Genomic DNA, 20,062 nt, shown 5'->3' on the forward strand with positions numbered 1-20,062 from the left:
TTGAGTAGCTGGGATTACAGGTGTCTGCCCCCATGCCCAGCTAATTTTTATATTTTTAGTAGAGATGGGATTTCACCATGTTGGCCAGGCTTGTCTTGAACTGCTGGCCTCAAGTGTTCTGCCTGCCTTAGCCTCCCAAAGTGCTGAGATTACAGGTGTGAGCCACTGTGCCCGGCCTAGAATTTTAAAAGGATAAAAATAGACCTGGATATTATTAAAAATAGTTTAAAAATATTTTATAACCTGTATATTTGTTTTCACTTTTTTTAATGGAGAGATTTTTCAATACATTACTCACATTTTGTTTTTTTAATTTTGTTCTTCCAGTCAGTTGGTTATGAATATATCATAGGGGAGGGTTGTGTAATCCCATTTGGGCTACATGACGGCATTTGGAGCAGCCAAAAGGGTAGAGTACTTGGGTGGACAGGCCTAACTCACTTGCCCATCCCTGTGCCAGGAGTGGCTCCAGGTATTAGGGCTCCACAGTGCCACCAGATACACAAAAGAAGGGAGAGAGGTGTTGAGCACTAAACAGCAGAAATTGGCTGCAGTGTTGATTGCTTCCTTCACGTTGCTTTTACACTTTCTATGGATTTTGAAGTGAAAGGTCTAACCTGGGTTCTTATTCAGCTACTTCCTAGCTGTGTGAACTTGGGCAAATTAACTGCCTTTTTAAGCCTGAGATTTCTCATTTGTAAAATGGTGAAAATAATAATGTGTTACTTTAAAGATACAATTTTGGTAAAGCTTTAAAAATTTATTTGTAAATAACAGATAATTTAATTCAATAATATGAAGTATCTACATACAGTTATTGCAGTTATTAAAATTACTTAGTAATGTATCCTAGAATAATTTGTTATTCCAGGATGTTTATTTCAAGATATATACATTTGATATGCTCCAGCCATGTTTATTTTCATTATAAAATTGAATCTTGGTATAGGTCATATTGGCGGTCTGTTAATTAGAATTGCCATAGCTGGTTATTGATAATAAGAGTAAGCTTTTGAGCTACTGTGTTAAATGATTTATATACGTAATTGCTAATAATAACAATTTGGTCTTGTTAGGTATTTTGTGGATAAGAATACTGAAACTCAGTATAAAGGTTAGGAACAAGGTCATTGGAGTAAGAGCTGGAGTAAGCTCAACCCTGCTTCTTGTTGGCAGGCCTTTCTAGTCCTCAGTTTCCTCATTTGTAAAAGGGGATAATATATTTATAATGTATGTCAAGTATCTAGTATAGGGTGGTAGATAATAAATGTTCAGTACATGTTAGTTTCTATTGTTACTTTTATTGCCCAAGAGCCTTTCACCTTATAGTAAGGGGTCCTTTGAGGATATTAACTCTTAACATGTAGTATCCCATTACCATTTTGGACAGCAGAAAATGCCCAAAGTATTCTTACTTTTCTTTACTCATATACCATCTTTTCTGATTTATTACTCCACCGGTGCCTTGCCATATTTTAAGCACATCAGTTAGTTTCATCATACTATAATTTATTAATCTTTTGAAATAAGAACAATATCTGTTCTGTTCTTTATTTAGAAGCTCAGTAAACTATATAAAGGATGAAAAAAGAATGGTCGGAATATTCCATTTATCTCGTTGTGGGCATTTGGGTGCTTAATTATTTAAATTTATTAATAACTTCATTTAAGCAGTAGCATTAATTTATAGTATGAGCTAGGAAAGTAGTTTTGCAGCGTTCCATGGAACCCATATGTACGCATCTTGAAAGTGTGATTAAAACAGGTATGTTTTTAAAAATTTGTTTTTATATTGGTAATAAAGTGTTTTCATTCCATCCCTCCTCACATGAGTACTGGGGAATCTGGACTTGAAAAGCATTCAGAAGAGTTCCAGAGGCTAAAGGAAGTAGAAAATAAAGGTTTAAAGGCTTTTGTAATATAGAAGTGATGCTATTGCTCACAATGAAGAAAATGATGGTAAAGGCTTGTATATCCATGTATCAGAATATTTAATGATGACAGTTGCAACAGATAATTGAAGAAATACAATGCATTAAATTCATTTTTCTCTTTTTTGAGATGGAGTTGCGCTCTTGTTGCCCAGGCTGGAGTGCAGTGGTACAATCTTGGCTCACTGCAACCTCCGCCTCCTGGGTTCAAGTGATTCTCCTGCCTCAGACTCCTGAGTAGCTGGGATTACAGGCATGTGCCACCACACCTGGCTAATTTTGTATTTTTAGTAGAGACCGGGTTTCTCCACATTGTTCAGGCTGGTCTCGAACTCCCGACCTCAGGTGATCTGCCCACCCCGGCCTCCCAAAGTGCTGGGATTACAGGCGTGAGCCACCGTGCCCAGCCTTTAATCTTTTGCTCTTGAAAATAAAGATATTTTGTTATTTTTACTCAGTATTCTGAGGATTTTCCAGTATTGAGGAAGGCACTGAGGAATTATTAAAAAGTTATTGGACCGACCGTCACGTTTAAGAGAATTAAAAAAAAAACATATTAGTCATATGAATAATCTTACACAGTTGTGCTTATGACCTTGAAGATACGAAGCTGAGATTGAATGGTGCAGATGGTAAAGCAAAATAGTGACAAAATAGGTTATACTTCAGACTAGAGGCAAGATATAGTTTATTGACAGCAGTGGATCCTGTATTTTATTATACTGTATTGCTGAATAGGTTGAAACTGGTTTTTTTTTTTTTTTTTTTTTTTTTTTGAGATGGAGTCTTGCTCTGTTGCCCAGGCTGGAGTGCAGTGGGGTGATCTCAGCTCACTGCAACCTCTGCCTCCCAGGTTCAAGTGATTCTCCTGCCTCAGCCTCCCAAGTAGCTGGGATTATAGGTGCCCACCACCACACCTGGCTAATTTTTGTATTTTCAGTAAAGACGGGGTTTTACCATGTTGGCCAGGCTGGTCTTGAACTGCTGACCTTATGTGATCTGCCCGCCTCAGCCTCCCAAAGTGCTGGGATTATAGGTGTGAGCCACTGCACCTGGCCAAAACTAAATTCTTAACAGCAATATTATGTAAATTTTTGAAAACTTTGATAATAAGATCCCTTCAGAGGCTTGTTTTCTGCTAATGAAATAGTTCATAGGCTGTAATATGAGTTTTAATTTACTTAATGTGGTTTATTAACATTTTATACTCTGAAATTACATGATTTTTAGTTTTTAACTTAAAAGATTTTGGTGATGGGTGCCCCATAAAATTTGTCAGTCTTATTTCTTTGAAGACTTTTGAGTTATTAACGTTAGCCCAAGCTTGCCATATTTTGGTGAAAATTGAAAGAAAACGCCACCAAACTTTTTAATATTTTTCAAACATTTTTGAAGTTTCTTGATAAGCAGTTATCAGATGGACTGAAGATATCAAATAGAGATGAGATATTGAAAATTCAGGCTTCTCATTTTTTTTTCAAAGACAGAAGTTATAATATTCAGTAAATCCAGCTATAGACATTCATATATAGAAGTATTTGCCTTGCCAGTAAAAGGGATGCATGCTTTAATTTTTTATTGCTTTGTAAATGATCCTCTCCTCTATTCTTGAACACTTTTCTTATTTTTGTACGCTCTATAAATGAATTATGGTTTTGAACTTTTTTACATCAGTAATAAAAATGAAATTTGATTGGTTGGTAATAAAGAAGGTTCTTTTCATAAAAGCAATCATTTTGTCATGACAATTCTCGTTAACTGTAACTGTGTTGGCAAAATAGAAACCATAAAATGCATTTCACTGTTTTTATACACTTAGCTATGTTTTTTTGCTGATCATATATTTTATCTCTAAGAACTTGTATAAGCCAAAGAATTTCTTCATAACTTGATCTGTCTTTAGATGGAAAAAAATAGACTTTTGATGTGTATATTTATTACAGTGGATACAGTATCTTTGAGTATTACAATGGTATTTACCCCCACATCATATTTTATTACCTGGTCAATTTAGAGCACTAATCAGAACTTTATATGAATAAATTGTGTCATTTGTATAACATGAAGAGGCCATTATTATTCCAGTGTTTATTTCTGTAAAGTAATATTGGCAGCTGACTCAATGAACTAGCCTTCTTTTGACCTCCATTTCTTTTGATTGTTAGCTTTTATGTTATAGAAAAATGTTTTGGCATTATGAATTATAAGTAATGTTTCTTTCTTATTTTATAAATTTAAAAAAAGATTATGTCTTTATGAGAAATACCATAAAAATAAAAGTTGCTATCTAGTTTTTTGTTAGATGCTATCATTGTTATTTTTACTATTACTGTTATTACTGTTCATCGATTTAAGATTCTAAGTTGGCTAGTCCAGGAGAACTAGTTACATAATGTTAACTATTTAAGTGATAATTGACATTTGTTCTTACATTGAGATTGTGAATTATTTTTGATGTATTTTCTCCCTAAACAGTTTTCTCCTTTTTGCCATCTACGTGCACTGATTTTCTCATACTAGCATTTGGTGGCTGTTTGGAGAATATAAAATAATTTTAATATTAAAATAAATATTTAGAAACGGTGCTAATGTGTGAGAAATTACAGAGTGCAGATTATAGACAAATATAAACTATGCTTTCATTATTTACTGTTTTAGATTATCTTTGTATCATAGGTAAATGACTATTGGTTTGACTTTTATGAAAAGATATAGTTAGATTTGACTTTAGCTAGAGTTGTTTCTCTCTTGGATTCTCTTTTGTTTCCTCAATCTGTGAATAATGTAGCAACTGCCATTTAGGTCAGTTTTTAAAGATGGATGTAAGCCATTCTAGTCACTGGGTACCAAATCCTGGGGACTAGAGGCCAGGGAGTCAGGGTGATGTGGTCAGCAAATTGGAGATATAGTGAGATTTCAGGAAGGCAAAGATTCAAGATATTGGATTAATAAAGTGAAACTGTAGGGAAAGTGCAAGTGTCAAAATCTATGTCTGAAGCAGTAAAGGGAATTTATAAACGTAATATGGTCAGGAGTCAGCTTGGTAACCGATTTAGATAAACGGAATTCTGAGGCTTCAGATGAGTCAACATTTTGTGTGATTAATAGTAACTATCAAAAGTCTTAACTGGCAAGTTACTTTTGCAGTGTAACAAACCACCCTAAATTTACAGGTGTAAAACAGCCACTTTCTTATGTTTATGAATCCTGTGGGTCAGTAATCCACACAGGGCACATGTTGTGAGTGGCACAAGGTGAGATATAACCATATCCACACACATTTGTGTCTTTCCACAAGGTCAGACTTCTGTTGGTGCTTATTCAGTCATAAAAGCAATAAGCAACATCGAGTTCCTTAAGGAGGCAATTCTCCTTAGTACTACCTGTTCACTCAGTAGTCAGAGCTGTGGCACATAGACTAAGCCAATCCACAAGTCAGTCAATGTTGCAAACCGCACGTAGCAGTATACTTAATATATAAATGTTATAGATTAAAATTTCCACATCACACAGTAACATTTAACATCAAGAGAAAAGGGGACAGGAAAAGAGGTAATGAACCAGTCTAAGGAGAGCGTCATGGACAAGGATAGTGTCCTGGGCTGATCCAGACAGTTGTCAGTGTCTTGCAAGGAAGAGTTCTTGATTTGGGCAGAGCATTTGGCAGCAAATGCTGGGTGCTGATCATGAGTGACTGCCAGACAGTGTCTATTAAGATGGCCATCTTGAGTTGGTGGAGTTCTGCTCCTTTTATAGCCCTCACATCTTCTGGTGAGGACTGATAGTAAAAAGTGTGTCTGGTTATGTCTTTGTCTGGTTGGTACGTGTAGTCTCTGTTGATTAGATGAACATGTGGTCCCTGTTGGCATGATGCCTTTTTAAATGTAAGGTGGGGTCTTTTTCTAAGATAGGGTTACTTATGTATAGGGTGCTGTATACAGCACAGGAAAGATGGTTTGTCTCTCACTCATGATGTCTGGGTCTTAAGCTGAAAAGACTCAAAGGCTGGGAATGATCCAGTGGTTCAGGGTTGGAAACCTCTGGAAGCATCTTCACTTGTATCTCTGACAGTTGATTCTGGCTAGGACTTTGGCTGGGGTTGTTCTCTGGAATACTTACATGTGGCTTCTTCATGTGGCTTGGCTTCCTCACAGCTTGGTGGCCTGAGGGTAGTCAGACTTTTTATGTAGTGACTCAGTGCACCACATACAAGTGCCTGAGCTAGCAAGATAGAATTTGCATCATCTTTTATAATCTACTCTCAATTGTCCTGCAGCATCACTTCCACAATATTCTGTGGGTCACAGTGCCAGCCCAGATTCAAGGGAAGGGGAATTGTAGGGTAGGAATTACTGTTGTGGACGTATTTAAGACATATACTTTGCCACAATAACCAAGGTGGTACTGCCTGTTTTTCTTAGATCTGGGAACCGAGAAGGCACACACATGACTGAATAGAGGTTCTAAAGAAGGATGGGGATAGATGGGGAGTTGGGGGTGAGTAGAGTAGTGCGGGTGGTTTTGTACGTTGTAATTAGTTATCTATGGAACTCTCTAAAGCTAGTGATGCCTGCTCGAACATGCATGCATATACAAATACTCCTTTATTCTCACCAAAGGCCTATCATATGGAAAGATTGAGGATGGAGATAAGACAAGTATAGTTTTCAAATACTCTGTAGATCATTTGTCTGTGTGTCTTTGATTAGGAACCACTGAATGATTCGGAGAGAAAGTGAATTCTTGAGTTTACACTGTTGAATTTGGTACCCATTGTTGAGATGTTATCCTTCCTTAAATTGGTTCAATGATATTATTTTTAGAGTTACAGTAGTTTTTTTTTTTTTTTTTTTTTTTTTTTTGCTGTCAGATATCTTTCAGGCTTTAGATAGCAAAAGACCTGCTTGTATTTTCTGCAGAATGTTTGTTGAGTACCTAATTTGTGCTAGGTGCTCTGCCAGGTGCTGGGGGTACAAAAATAAGTAACAATTCTTGCCTTTCATGAGCTTATATTCTTTTGCAGAAATAGATCATTTTAATATGAAGAGCTATATCTATAGTAGAAATCTGCACAGAGGCATCTAGTTTAGTAAGCCTTTGCTGAACATTTTGCCTCCGTTTCCTCAAACTGCATTAGGGATGTTAGGTTTTTGGTAAATATCTAAACTCGTCTCCATGCCTCCTACCTTCTATCTGGCATGCTTTGGATTATTTTTTTGGATCCAATTCAGATTTCATCTCCTTTTGTGAATTCTTTCCTGTTTTCCTCAGGCAGATTTAGTTATTTCTTCATGAATATTTCTATAGGGCTTTATACACACTTTTGTTCTAATGTGTATATTAAGAATTATTGATTGAAAATATACTGTGAGCTAGAGACTTTATAGGGTACTTAGTTTATCTACTTTTTTTTTTTTGTTTTTTTTTTTGAGATGGAGTCTTGCTCTGTTGCCCAGGCTAGAGTGCAGTCGCACGATCTCAGCTCACTGCAACCTCCATCTCCTGGGTTCATGCGATTGTCCTGCCTTAGCCTCCTGAGTAGCTGGGATTACAGGCATGCACCACCACACCTGGCTAATTTTTGTATTTTTGATAGAGACAGGGTTTCACCATGTTGGTCAGGCTGGTCTCGAACTGCTGACCTGGTGATCTGCCCAACTTGGCCTCCCAAAGTGCTGGGATTACAGGCGTGAGCAATCACACCTGGCCAATCTAGTTTTATTCTTCCAATAACCCAACAAGATAATTAATATTTCCCTCTTTTACAGTGAGGTAATTGAGACAAGAATAGGTTAACCAGTTTGGCCAACATAACTCACACAATAAGTTGTAGAATTGGGAGGGGAAGCCAGGTATGTGTGACTCTGAAATGTATGCTTTTTCCCTACACCACCTGTATTTGCTTAATGTATTTTAAATGGTTATGTTTACCTTAGTCACCCCTAATCCCACCTCCCTTTTTGTTCTTCACCTGCTCAACAAAATTAGATCCTAGAGGGCAATGACAGTTTTATATTCATCTTTGTATTATAGTTGTGGGTACATTTTGGATGTTTATCACCTATTTGTTCATTTAAATGCCTTTAATATTTTTTAGGGGGAATCCTCTGAGCATTTTCTACTGTGTTCTCATACTCTTAAGGAAATTCTTGACCGTTACCTCATTTCCTGTTTCCTTCTTCTTGGAGAATCTTGCAGTTTTGTCAGCATTTCAGGTGGTATAATAATAAGTCAGATTCTCTGTGGGGGATAATTTGTTCTATAACTAGCTGGGAGGAGTGAAGGAAGAGGAATAGAGTTTTTTGGTTAGCTAGCTTGATATGAGATAGCAAAGTATATGTACAGTACCTGGAACCATAATCACATAGTAGATACTTAAAAACATAGGTGCTGACATTACAGTGATTGTATTTGGTTTAGATGGGAAGAACTACTTAGTTTGAAGGATATTTGTTTTCTGTCTCTAGAGTTAGATTTAGAGAACCATTAAACTATTGCACTGTGAAGGTTAATGTTGTTGAGGTCTCACAGTTGTGTGGGGCTGTTTTTGTATCTGTTTTTTGGCCAGATGGATTAGACTTTTACTCTTAACCAGCTGTTTTTCTATAGTTCTGCTGTTGATCTCATATTCATTTTTAGTTCTGAGAAAAACTCATAGTATCAGTGCTTCTTTTTTTTTTAAATTTCAGATTACCATTTTAAAAATGAAAAAAGTTTGAGTAACAATTACAAGACTCTTCTGTTAATTTATCATTATCATATGTAGTTGGCCTGCTTTTTATTGGAAATTAATGAAAAATAATGGATTTTTTTCTTTTTTTTTTCCTTTTCTTTTTGTGATGGGGTCTTGTTATGTTGCCCAGGCGTGCCTCAAACTTCTGGGCTCAAGGGATCCTTCTGCTTCAGCCTCCCAAGTAGCTGGGACTACAGGTGCACACCACCATGTCCAGCTATGATGGATTATTTTTATAATGGATCAAAGTCTAAACATAACCATTTGAGAACATGACACATACATACTTATTAAGGAAGAATGGAAAGTTTTAAATTTGACTTATATTTATTTACTTTACCTGAGTTATTGGCTTGTTGGTGCTGTGAATTTGTTTTCTTGACCCTTGTTAACCTCTAGAAGTTTGTCAGGTTTACGAAATTGGTCCTTGAATACCATTTTGAAATTGATCTCTAGTCACAGATAGATATCACAACTGATATTCATAATTACTAACTTATTTTTACTTTCCTTATCGAATACTTCTAATGGAAAAACTATCATGTTACCACTTTGATTGCAAAATAAATGTGGCCTGAGTTCATTAATCTTAAAGGCTTATTCTTGAACATTATAAAATAGCAACATGTTACTAAGGCATGTTTTAAAACATGGCTTTAAGCCATAGCCACAATGCTTAAGGAGAAAAAGATGGTCAAAAATCTTCTTGAAAAAAATTAATCTACACACATCCTTACTACCATTTTCTCTGAGCTAAATGAATGAAAGATAAAAAGAACATAATCTTATCTCAAGTGCCATCTGTGTCTCTAGGATGGTCTTTGTTGTGGTGTTCACAGACCATCTGCATCAGATTTACCAGGATTGCTTGTTAAAGGTGCAGATTTTTGGTCCTCATCTCTACAGTATCAGAACTCCTGAGTTTAGGAAATACATAACTTTATCAAGTTCCTCAAGTGTACAGGAAGAGTTGAGAACTACTGTTGTAAGATAATTATAATTGCTTTAATTCTAATAATTACTACCCAAGAATGTTTATTTGTGAGCTCTGCAGGAGGTTAGCTAATTTAGTTGTGTGTTCACTGACTGTAGAGCAACACTACTTGGGTTCAAATCCTGGCTGCTGTCACTTACTAGCATTGTGACTTTGAACAAATTACTTAGCTTGTGCCTCAGTTTTCTTATTGTAAAATTGGGAAAATAATAATAGTGTCTACCTCATAAAGTTGTGGGATGTTTAATATATGTCAAGCACTTACATGTACAGTAAGTGCAATAAGTCTTTTAAGATTTTCTGTTCAGCTTTCTTGAGATATAATTTACAAACCCTTTTAGATTTATAATTCAGTGATTTTTAGTATATTTACATAATTGTGTGACTATTGCCACAATCTTTTTTTTTTTTTTTTTTTAGTTTTCCACTCATCTCTGCAGTTACCACAGTCTAACAGTAGGTTTCCATCACCTCCAAAAGAAACTCCTTGCCCATTTACAGCCACTCCTCATTCCCACCACCAGCCTGAGTCAACCACTGGTCTACTCTGTTTCTGTAGATTTGCCTCATCTGGACATGTCATATAAATGGAATCATATGTTTTCTTTTGTGTCTGGCTTTTTTTTTTTTATTGGGCATAATGCTTTTTGAGGGTCATCCATGTATTCATGTTGTAGCATGTATCAGTACTTAACTTGGTTCTTTCTTATTGCCAAATAGTATTCCATCATATGGATATGCTGCATTATGTCTGTCCATTCACCAGTTAATGAACATCTGGGTTGCTTTCCTTTTTGACTATTGTGAATAATGCTGCTATGAACATTTGTATATAAGTCTTTATTTGGATATTTATTTTTATTTCCCCTGGGTGAATACATAGGAGTGTAATTGATGGGTCATATGGTAAAATTCTGTGTTTAACATTTTGAGAAATTGCCAAACATTTCATGGTCCCATCAGCAACGTGTGAGAATTTTTGATTTCTCCACATTTGCTAAACATTTGTTATTGTCTGTCTTGTTGATTATGACCTTCTTATTGGGTGTGAAGTGGCATCTCATGGTGGTTTTGGTTTGCATTTCCCTAATGACTAATGATGCTGAGTATCTTTTCATGTGCTTTTTGGCCATTTGTATATCTCCTTTGGAAAAATGGCTATTCACATTCCTTGCTCAATTTTAAAAATTGGGTTATGTTGTCTTTTTATTATAGGGTTGTAAGAGTTTCTAACATATTTTGGATATATGCTGTATGAGTTTTGCGGAATCTTAATTGCTGTCGTTATCATAATCATCATCTGCCTAAATAGAAGTCTAGTTTGTATTTGACCAGGAGATAGATTCTAGTTATTCTCTAGTTTTATTTGGGCTCCAGCTTTGGTTGTGAGAGGGAAGTTCTGCCTTCCTTTTTCTGTGTTTTCAATCTTTGTTGCTTTCCATCTTGTGCTTCTAGAATGGCAGGGTATTAAGACCCATCTGCCTTGGGTATTCTACTGTCCTCATTCATTCATTATTACTCACTCTGAGTCTTTTTTTTTTTTTTCTGAGATGGAGTTTCGCTCTGGTTGCCCAGGCTGGAGTGCAGTGGCATGATCTCAGCTCACTGCAACCTCCGTCTCCCAGGTTCAAGCGATTCTCCTGCCTCAGCCTCCCAAGTAGCTGGGATTACAGGTATGCACCACCATGCCCGGCTAATTTTGTATTTTTAGTAGAGATGAGGTTTCACCATGTTGGCCAGGCTGGTCTCGAACTCCTGACCTCAGGTGATCCACCCACCTCAGCCTCCCAAAGTGCTGGGATTACAGGCGTGAGCCACCATGCCCGACCCACTCTGGGTCATTTTAATCTTTTGCTTACTACCTTGTTCCAAATGAATGGGTTGCTGGAGATAGTTATTTGTGGAATATTATTTGAGTTATTTGCCGTAGTTCAGTAAATTGGAATTCATTTGGTGTTTTAGAGATTATACACTGTCGTGTATGTTTTTTTCTTGTTTTTTGTGTAATGTGTAGCCCAAACAGAATTAAGCCTTGTTATATGTATACCAGATAATATTGTCATAATGAGGTAGACTTCAGTGTTTTTAACTTCAGACATTGTAAAGGTACACATAAGGAGATAGGCCACATGATACCTCTAAAATAGAAGTGCCTTATGGGCAGTTACTTGGTTTTCTTTATAATTGTGCCTTTAGCTCTTAGAATGGTGCCTGACACTTTATATGCATTCAATGTATTTATTGAATGAACGATAAAACTGATTTGTAGCTGTGGCTAAATTTACTTTCTGAAGTAAGATGTATGTATAATTTACTATACATATTTATATACACTGAGTATCCCCAATTTGAAAGTCCAAAATCTGAAAATGCTCCAAAATCCAAAACTTTTTGAGTGCCAACATGATGCTCAAAGGAAATGCTCATTGAAGTGTTTTGGATGTTTGATTTTTGGGTTAGGGTTGCTTAACTGGTAAGTATATAATGCAGATATTCCAAACTATGAGAAAAATCCAAAATTGAAACACTTCTCGTGTCAGGAATTTTGGATAAGGGATACTCAACCTGTATGTAACAAGCAATAATGGATATACAGTAGACTCTTATGTCAGTCAACAAGTTTCTTTTTCCTAAAAACTTGTGATGATGTGTAGCCAAAGGAATAGTTCTGGTCTGAATCTTCTTCTAGAAGAATCTTCTAGAATCTAGGACTTCTTTTGTATTTGTGTCTAATACTTCTCTATTTTGTCCTAGAATGTTTGCTTTCTGCTTCAGGATTTCTATTTTAATTGAAGGTAGTCTATATCTTTGTATCTACACCTGCTTGCAAATGTGTTTTTTAAGTAGCCTTACCACTGTGCTATGCAATACTGACTGCTTTTTTTTTTTTTTTAACGTTTATGGAAATGGCAATATGACGCTGCACTTCCCTGTTCTCCAACACAAGCCATTTTCTTACATAAACACTGATCTCTGACTATTAAGGTAATGGGAAAATGGTTTTAAACACCTTTTGTGGGAAGAGTCACTTCTGCTTACACATCCTGTATCGTATCATTAAACATTCCCTATGAAACACTAGCTAAGGGGCATTACTATTTAATAATTTCATGACCATCATTATATAGTGTTATTTTTGACTTGCACTATAGTTTGCAGGTTGAATTGCTTTCGAATTTAATATATAGCCCTTAAAATTTCAGTTTTGATAAAGTCCCATATCATCATATTTTAAGTCTAAACATCTTAAAAATCTATTTTAAATGAAACCTTCATATATTGCCTAAAACTTGATGGGTTTTGAGTATGGTGTCTATGTTATCACTGATATCATTAGTATAATATTTATGTCAAATTAACAAATTTCCTTCCTTTCTTTGTGTGTCTTGCAGTAACTTGTCCATGTTTAAGAGCTGCCGAATGCTCTTTGAACATTTTGTTATATTAGCAGTATTTGCATTTACAACTTTGGCAGGAAGCCATCCAAATTTGGAGATAGGCTACCCATGTTTCTTGCTCCTTTTATATAACACTGTCTAAATAGTCTTGCTGTGCTGAAGAGATGACATCTATGAGCTTTTGGAATCTAGTTGCCTAAGGATAAACTGAGTTTGACTTCATTAGTGCACAAATGATAGGTTTGTGTAGAGTTATTATAGCATTAATCAATTTGATGGATTGGAAATATGACAGAACTGAAGCAGCATGTAATATTAGTGCCTATTATTCTGGAAATTATGTCTTCACCTACATTCATGTGGCAGAGGAGTCATGTTGTACATCAAGAAGGCAGAACTTAAAGAAACAAACAACAGAGGGCATCTCTTTTCATGGCCCTTCTCTTAATCCTCTTATATTAGATCATCGAGAGATGGACCTCAGAATTAGACTAATTTTTTTTAGGTCATAGCACTTTCATACTTTGAAATACGTTGATTTGAATGGAATAAATAGATACATAATCCTAACCTAATATTTAAGAGAATACTACAAGTAATATATAAAGTCTTTAAGAGACTTACGGGTATACTTATGTGAATTTATTGGTTAGCAGTCATTTCATTAAAAATGATAATGGATTAATAGTAAGAATATTGTTTTTTTTGTATTGGTTGATAAAGCTTAAAAATAGGTAACTTAAAGATAATTAAAATGAATGAGAAGCAAATACTTATTTTTTTGGGTCACGGGTGTTGCTTTATCATGTGTGCATTTCTAACATTTATGCATTATTTATTTTATGGCTTTCAGAAGTTCAAGAATATGTGTCACTTCTTTTTGATTTTACTTTGTTCTCCAATGTAAATACTTATGAGTTTCTTTGAGAAATATTCATTTGCATAAAAAAAACTCTCCCACTAAAGCCTGAAACCTTAAGCAGCATCTCTTTTGCTCCTGGTAAAGAAGACACTAAATATAGAATAATCAGGGCCTGGGCAAAATTGGGAAGTAGGTAAAGAACTAACTGGACTTTTAATAACTAATTGGATATGCACTTAGTTATGAGGTGCTTTGATATTTGCTTTATTTCTAGGTATTCTTTTTATCTGCAGTATAGGGATATATTTCTTCTTTATAAAAATGATAAAAATTTATTGCATCTTTTGTTAGAGAATACTATTAGAATAGTAATTCTAATTTTAAAGGGTGAATTAATGTAGGTCACTAGGAGTACCTTAGAGTAAGTTATTGCTTTGGTATGAAAGTGGTACAGGAATTTCTTTATCATGAAATAATTAATTTCTAAAAGGTGGGTAGTTTAATTTAGAACTCTTATAATGAAGATATTAGCTTAAATGATGCCTATATAAAATTTAATCTTGGTTAATTTAAATTTCATATTTTGGCATGTATTATTGTAGATGTCATCTTCAGTTTGGAGTAATTGAGAAGCCAAGTTTTTAATAACCTTGGGACCACAAGGAATTTTTCACATTCTAGGAATTTACCTACTAGAAAGAGAAATAAGATATTGACATAACAATATGATAGAGTAGAAAATGATATATAAGAAAAATGCAGACTGCTATGGACAGTATAGATAAAGGAGAAATTAGATTTGCTTAGTCCTAAAAGCCTTTTTGATGGATGTGGCATTTAAACTTGGTTGAGAAAGGTATAGGATTTGGGTATATGGCAGTGAAGGAGTATTCTGAACTTAAGGGGAACAATTTGAGCAAAGTCACAAAGATGAGAAAGTATGAAGTTTGTGGGGGAAATTTGAAGTACTCTGGTTGATACAAGGGTCATGTTAGGGAGGTAGTAGGCAGGGATCCCCATTCTCCTCACTAATTCATGTGTGTTCCCCCCGCAAGCTTTCTCCTTGGTCAAAAAGGATGATTTTATCAGAAGAGAGCAAGACTCTTCCTTGCTCTAGAGTACATGAATGACTGGGTTTCCTGCAAAAACTTCAAATAAGTAGTTATTTAATTAGAACGGCATTCTCCAATGTGGGATGAGATGTATGTAGGAGCAAGGGGTGATTACTGACTTTGTCTGACCTTGGGAAAGAGAAGAGTAGAGAAGAAGTTGTCCTTTTGGATTTTGTCTTTTCCCAAACCAAGAGATCAGCTTTTTATAAGGTGTGGATAATAATTCTCATGATTCATAGATTTACATATGAAGACAGTTATAGAGCTCATTTCCTAGAATGATACCTACATGGTTGATTTGTAGATTCATTGCCCAGTTTAGGATTTCAACTTTGGGCACTCCTAGGGAATAACTAGTTTTTTTTTTTTTTTTTCCTCTCATGTCATGCTTTACATGTAATATGTGTGCAAGACAACCCTTTGAAATACAGGAAGAAAAACATAAATTAACTATATATTTCTTACCTTTGCACTAACACTAAAACTGGAAATCTCTTTCTATACAATGTTTTATATTAAATATATAGTTTACATCAGATGTTACTGCTGTATCACTCCTCAGTTCAGCTTATCTGACAAACAGTCTCACTCTTCCCCTTTCCATTTCCTATGACTCTAACCCAAGAATCACCATTTATGAAAATCTCATGTCCTTATCAATAAAAATTTGAGCATGCAGGCCTGAATTTAGAAATCATAAAGTTGTTAATTGCTGAGCCGATATATCATGCACATTATAAAACATACACTAAAAAAGAAAGTAGAGTTAAAAAAGATAAAATTCAAATTCCAGGAATTTTAGGCAGCTATTTAGTATTTTTTTGAGTTGTGTTGTTGGTTATAGTGTTGAAGTTGTTTGAGTAAAGTTTATTTTATTTTTTATGTTTTGCCATGAATTTTTCTTATCTTCCCTGCTACATTCTTAGCCTGAATAGTACAGAGTAATAACAACAATGATGATAGTGCTAATAATGAAAACAGATGTTTATTCAGCAACATTTACTGATTACCTGCTATGTGCTAGGTTCTAGGGATGAAATGGTAAGCAAAAATCAGACGTGAATGCTGGATTGATGGTGCGTATTTTCTCATGGAGAAGATAAACAAATACTTAAATGTAAAAATACAGACGGGGAGTGCATGCTGTAAGAGCTTGTAAAAGGAGTGTTTGAACTATTCAAGGAGGTCAGCGAAAACTTCCCTGTGGATAGAACTGGCTACATAATTTTTAAGGCCCAGTGCAACATGAAAGTGTTAAAATATTATCCACTTTCAAGACTGAGACAGCAGAACATTAAACCAAGCAGGGGGCCCTTCCAAGTGCAGACCTTATGCAACTGCACAGGTTACACGCTCGTGAACCTGGCTGTACCTGAGGAAGTAATTTTTGAGCTGAGATGTGACAATACCATAGGAGGATAAAATTGTTCCAGGCAGAAGAAACTGCAGTGGGGAGAGTGGTGCATTCAGAAACTGGATGAAGGCCAGTGGGGCTGGAGTGCAGAGAGTCAAGGTTAGGGATGTGTGTGTGATGAGGTAGGCTGATAGAGAGGGTAACTTGAAAGGCTAAGTAGAGCCCTGTAGGCCATGTTGAGGATTTTGGTCTTTATTCCAAGAACCACACATAACTATTGATGTGTCTTAAGCATAAAATTTACTTTTGATGTGGTGAGAATACCAGTAACTTGCACTTTGACAGCATTGGACAACTTTCTTCCTCAGCCTCCATTTCTTACCAACCCCTTTTTTAGAAACTTTCAGTCTCACCTTCTGTGTTTATTCTAAGGCTGTCCCTTCCTTTAGGTGTGTTTAAAATGGCACTTCACACCAGGGTGATAGAAACTGAAAATAGGTAGAGTAGGTGAGTCATGACATTTTATTTACTATTGAAGTAGTTTGTGGTCTAAAACATTTCAGGTCAACTGAAGAAAAACTAGTAAAATATAAAAATGTTTTATTGTTGTTTTAAAATGACTTTCCTTTTAAAATGCCACAGATTTTTAAAATGTATATTGTCAGCATCATGATTTTAAATCCTTAATCTCCTCTTTTACACATGCTCAGGAGCAAGGGGTGATTACTGACTTTGACCTTGGGAAAGAGAAGTGTAGGGAAGAAGTTGTCTTTTTTTGTCTTTTACATAATAGGTATTCCCAAACCAACAAATAAGCTTTCTTTCTGTTAGATGTGGATAATAATTTTCATGATTCATAGATTTACATATGAAGACAGTTATAGAGCTCATTTCCTAGAATGATACCTGCGTGATTGATTTGTAGATCCATTGCCCAGTTTAGGATTTTCACTTTTGGCATTCCTAGGGAATAACAAACTAGAGATTTTTTTTCTTTCATGTCATGGTTTACATGTAATTTACATACAATTTATCCTAAAAGGTTATTTTTTCAGTAATTTGCTGATGTCAGCTTGTTTTTGTTTCCTTTTATTTAAAAAACTGTTATACAAGTTAATTGGGTTCTTATTGAAATTTTACTTTGTTAAAAGTTGACAGCAAAATAAATTTTGTTTCATTGCTGTGTTGGTATGTGTGTTGAAATTCAGTAGCCCTTACGTATATGTGTAATATTGTGTGTAACAGCATACAAAACTATGTGTAGTTCATTATTTACTTGATGTTTTCATGGCATTATCTCTAAATACGAGTTTAATTTTGTGTAGCCCAAACCAAAATAAACCTAAAAGTCACATTTGTTATTTATTGTAATAATACTGTGTTTTTCTTTTTATTCTAAAGCATAAGTATTCTAAAGCATAAGTAAAAGCAAATTAAGGAGTTCTTTTTCCCACTCCAGGGATTGCTTTAGAACATTTTAAATGATCAGTCTTAAGAAAAAAATGCTTCACATGTATAAATTTCTTTTAAAAAATCAGCCAGAATTACATATTAAAGTTATTTGTTGCTATGTCACAGAGACTAAAGTAGTATAAACACAATTAGAAATATACCAGTTACTGTGTAATTATATGAGCTCTGTCACTGATACAGTTTGGATGTTTGTTCCCTGCAAATCTCCTGTTGAAATGTAATCCCCGTTGTTGGAGGTGGGTCCTGGTGGAGGTGTTTGGGTCATGGGGGTGGATCCCTCATGAATGGCTCAGTGCTATCCTTGATAGTGAGTTCTCTCTCTGTGTTCACATGAGATCTGGTTGTTTAAAAGAGAGCGGCATCTCCCCCCCTTCTCTTGCTCCTGCTCTTGCTGTGTGTGACACCTGCTCCCCCCTTTGCCTTCTGCCATGATTGTAAGCTTCCTGCAGCTCTCACCAGAAGCAGATGCTGGCACCGTGTTTCTTGTACAGTCTGCAGAACCATGAGCCAAAATAAACTTCTTTTCTGTATAAATTACCCAGTCTCAGGTATTTCTTTACAACAGTGCCAACAGCCTAACAGAATCATGTAGGTGATGCACTTAAGTCAGTGATATTTATATTCTCTGAGCTGCTCATAGGTAAGATAGGCAGCTGTTCATTCTTTGTATACTCTACCATTTCTTGTCTACTGCATGATAAACTGCAATTCCTAGCTGCTGGCTATATGGGTTTATATCAGTCTACTTGCCTTCTCTTTTTAAATCATAGGTTCTATTTGTGATGAAAACACTGGATGTTTTGGTAGAGTTACTTTCTGAGAATTTATTTTCAATAATGATTTCTGAGTTGAAACAGAGTTTATGTCTTAGATTGAGTGAAATATTCACCCTTTTCACCTATTTCCAGCTTTAGATTCTTAATAAGAGAGCTTTTGGTATTTGTAGGAAGCTTCTTTAGTCTTATTTGCAGTGAAGTAATATGTTGCAAACTTTCTATTACTTTCATATTTGTCTTTTGGATGAGATCTGGAGAATCCATGGGAGTGATGATGAATTAACTTTTTTTTTTTTTTTTTTTTTCCTAAGACAGAGTCTCCCTCTGTCACCCAGGCTGGACTGCAGTGGCGTGATCTTGGCTCACAGCAACCTCTGCCTCCTGGGTTCAAGCAATTCTCTGCCTCAGCCTCCTGAGTAGCTGGGATTACAGGCGCCAGCCACCACGCCCGGCTAATTTTTGTATTTTTAGTGGAGATGGCCATCTTGGCCAGGCTGGTCTTGAACTCCTGAGCTTTTGATCCACCCGCCTCGGCCTCCCAAAGTTTTGGGATTACAGGCGTGAGCCATGGCACCCAGCTGATGAATTAACTTTTAACTGAAATTACTGACCACATAAATTGCTGTTCATATAAGAACTCTGTTACATTACAGAGTAGTGAAGTAGCTTCTGATTTATCAGAGAACACTTAAATCATATTCAGCATATGTTTAATGCTAGTGTATGTAAAGGTTGGTGCAAAAATAATTGCAGTTTTTGGCATATCGTTTGTTGGATTCTTCTTTGTAAAAGCCAGAAAACATCAGAATCACCAATTTTAACACAGTAATACAGGTTTAATACAGTTTTTGGGGAAAAACGGCAATACTTTTGCACCAACCTAATACTTAATTGTTTTAAAAATTTGTAATGCATGCCTAGTATGTGCACAAAATAGCTAACTAAGAGTTAAAATTACCACAATTTTAAATTAGAATATCCTGTTACCTTAACATAGATGATAATATTGAGTAAAACTTTAATTAGCCAGCATGTTTAGGGAATTAAATGGTAGGTTTAATCAAATATCTTCTTTCTTTCTACAGACAATTAACATCAACTGTATGCAAATCGTAGTACAGTGTGGGGTACACAGATGCATATGACACATCTGTGCCTCCAAGGAACTTGATTTCAATATTTATTCTTTGAAATTTTGTGAATTTTATTACTATGCTTTATTGCTAGTAAGATTAATGTAATGCATATAATTGAATCTTTGATGATTTAGAATTTTATAACGAATCTCATTGTATTGTTTTTAGTATAGATGTAAGCAATATAGGTGTGCTGACCATACAATTTATCCTAAAAGGTTATTTTTTGAGTAATTGGCTAATGTCAGCTTGTTTTTGTTTCCTTTTATTTAAAAAACTGTTATACAAGTTAA

The 20,062-nt window shown here is 35.4% G+C and overlaps 1 protein-coding gene across 5 annotated transcripts in view, besides 1 other annotated feature; it reads left to right on the forward strand.

The window, feature by feature from the left end:
• Nucleotides 1–20,062, forward strand: part of MTX2 (metaxin 2) — a 68,584-nt gene that overhangs the window by 5,920 nt on the left and 42,602 nt on the right. The gene's annotated exons all lie outside the window — the stretch shown is intronic.
• Nucleotides 16,654–16,803: an enhancer, noted in NCBI's record as "active region_16789". NCBI's record gives its function as "activates an Ori minimal core promoter by ATAC-STARR-seq in GM12878 lymphoblastoid cells {active_cell/tissue: GM12878}" and the evidence as "EXISTENCE:reporter gene assay evidence [ECO:0000049][PMID:35858748]".

This window comes from Homo sapiens, chromosome 2, assembly GCF_000001405.40.
Source record: "Homo sapiens chromosome 2, GRCh38.p14 Primary Assembly".
Lineage (NCBI taxonomy): Eukaryota > Metazoa > Chordata > Mammalia > Primates > Hominidae > Homo > Homo sapiens.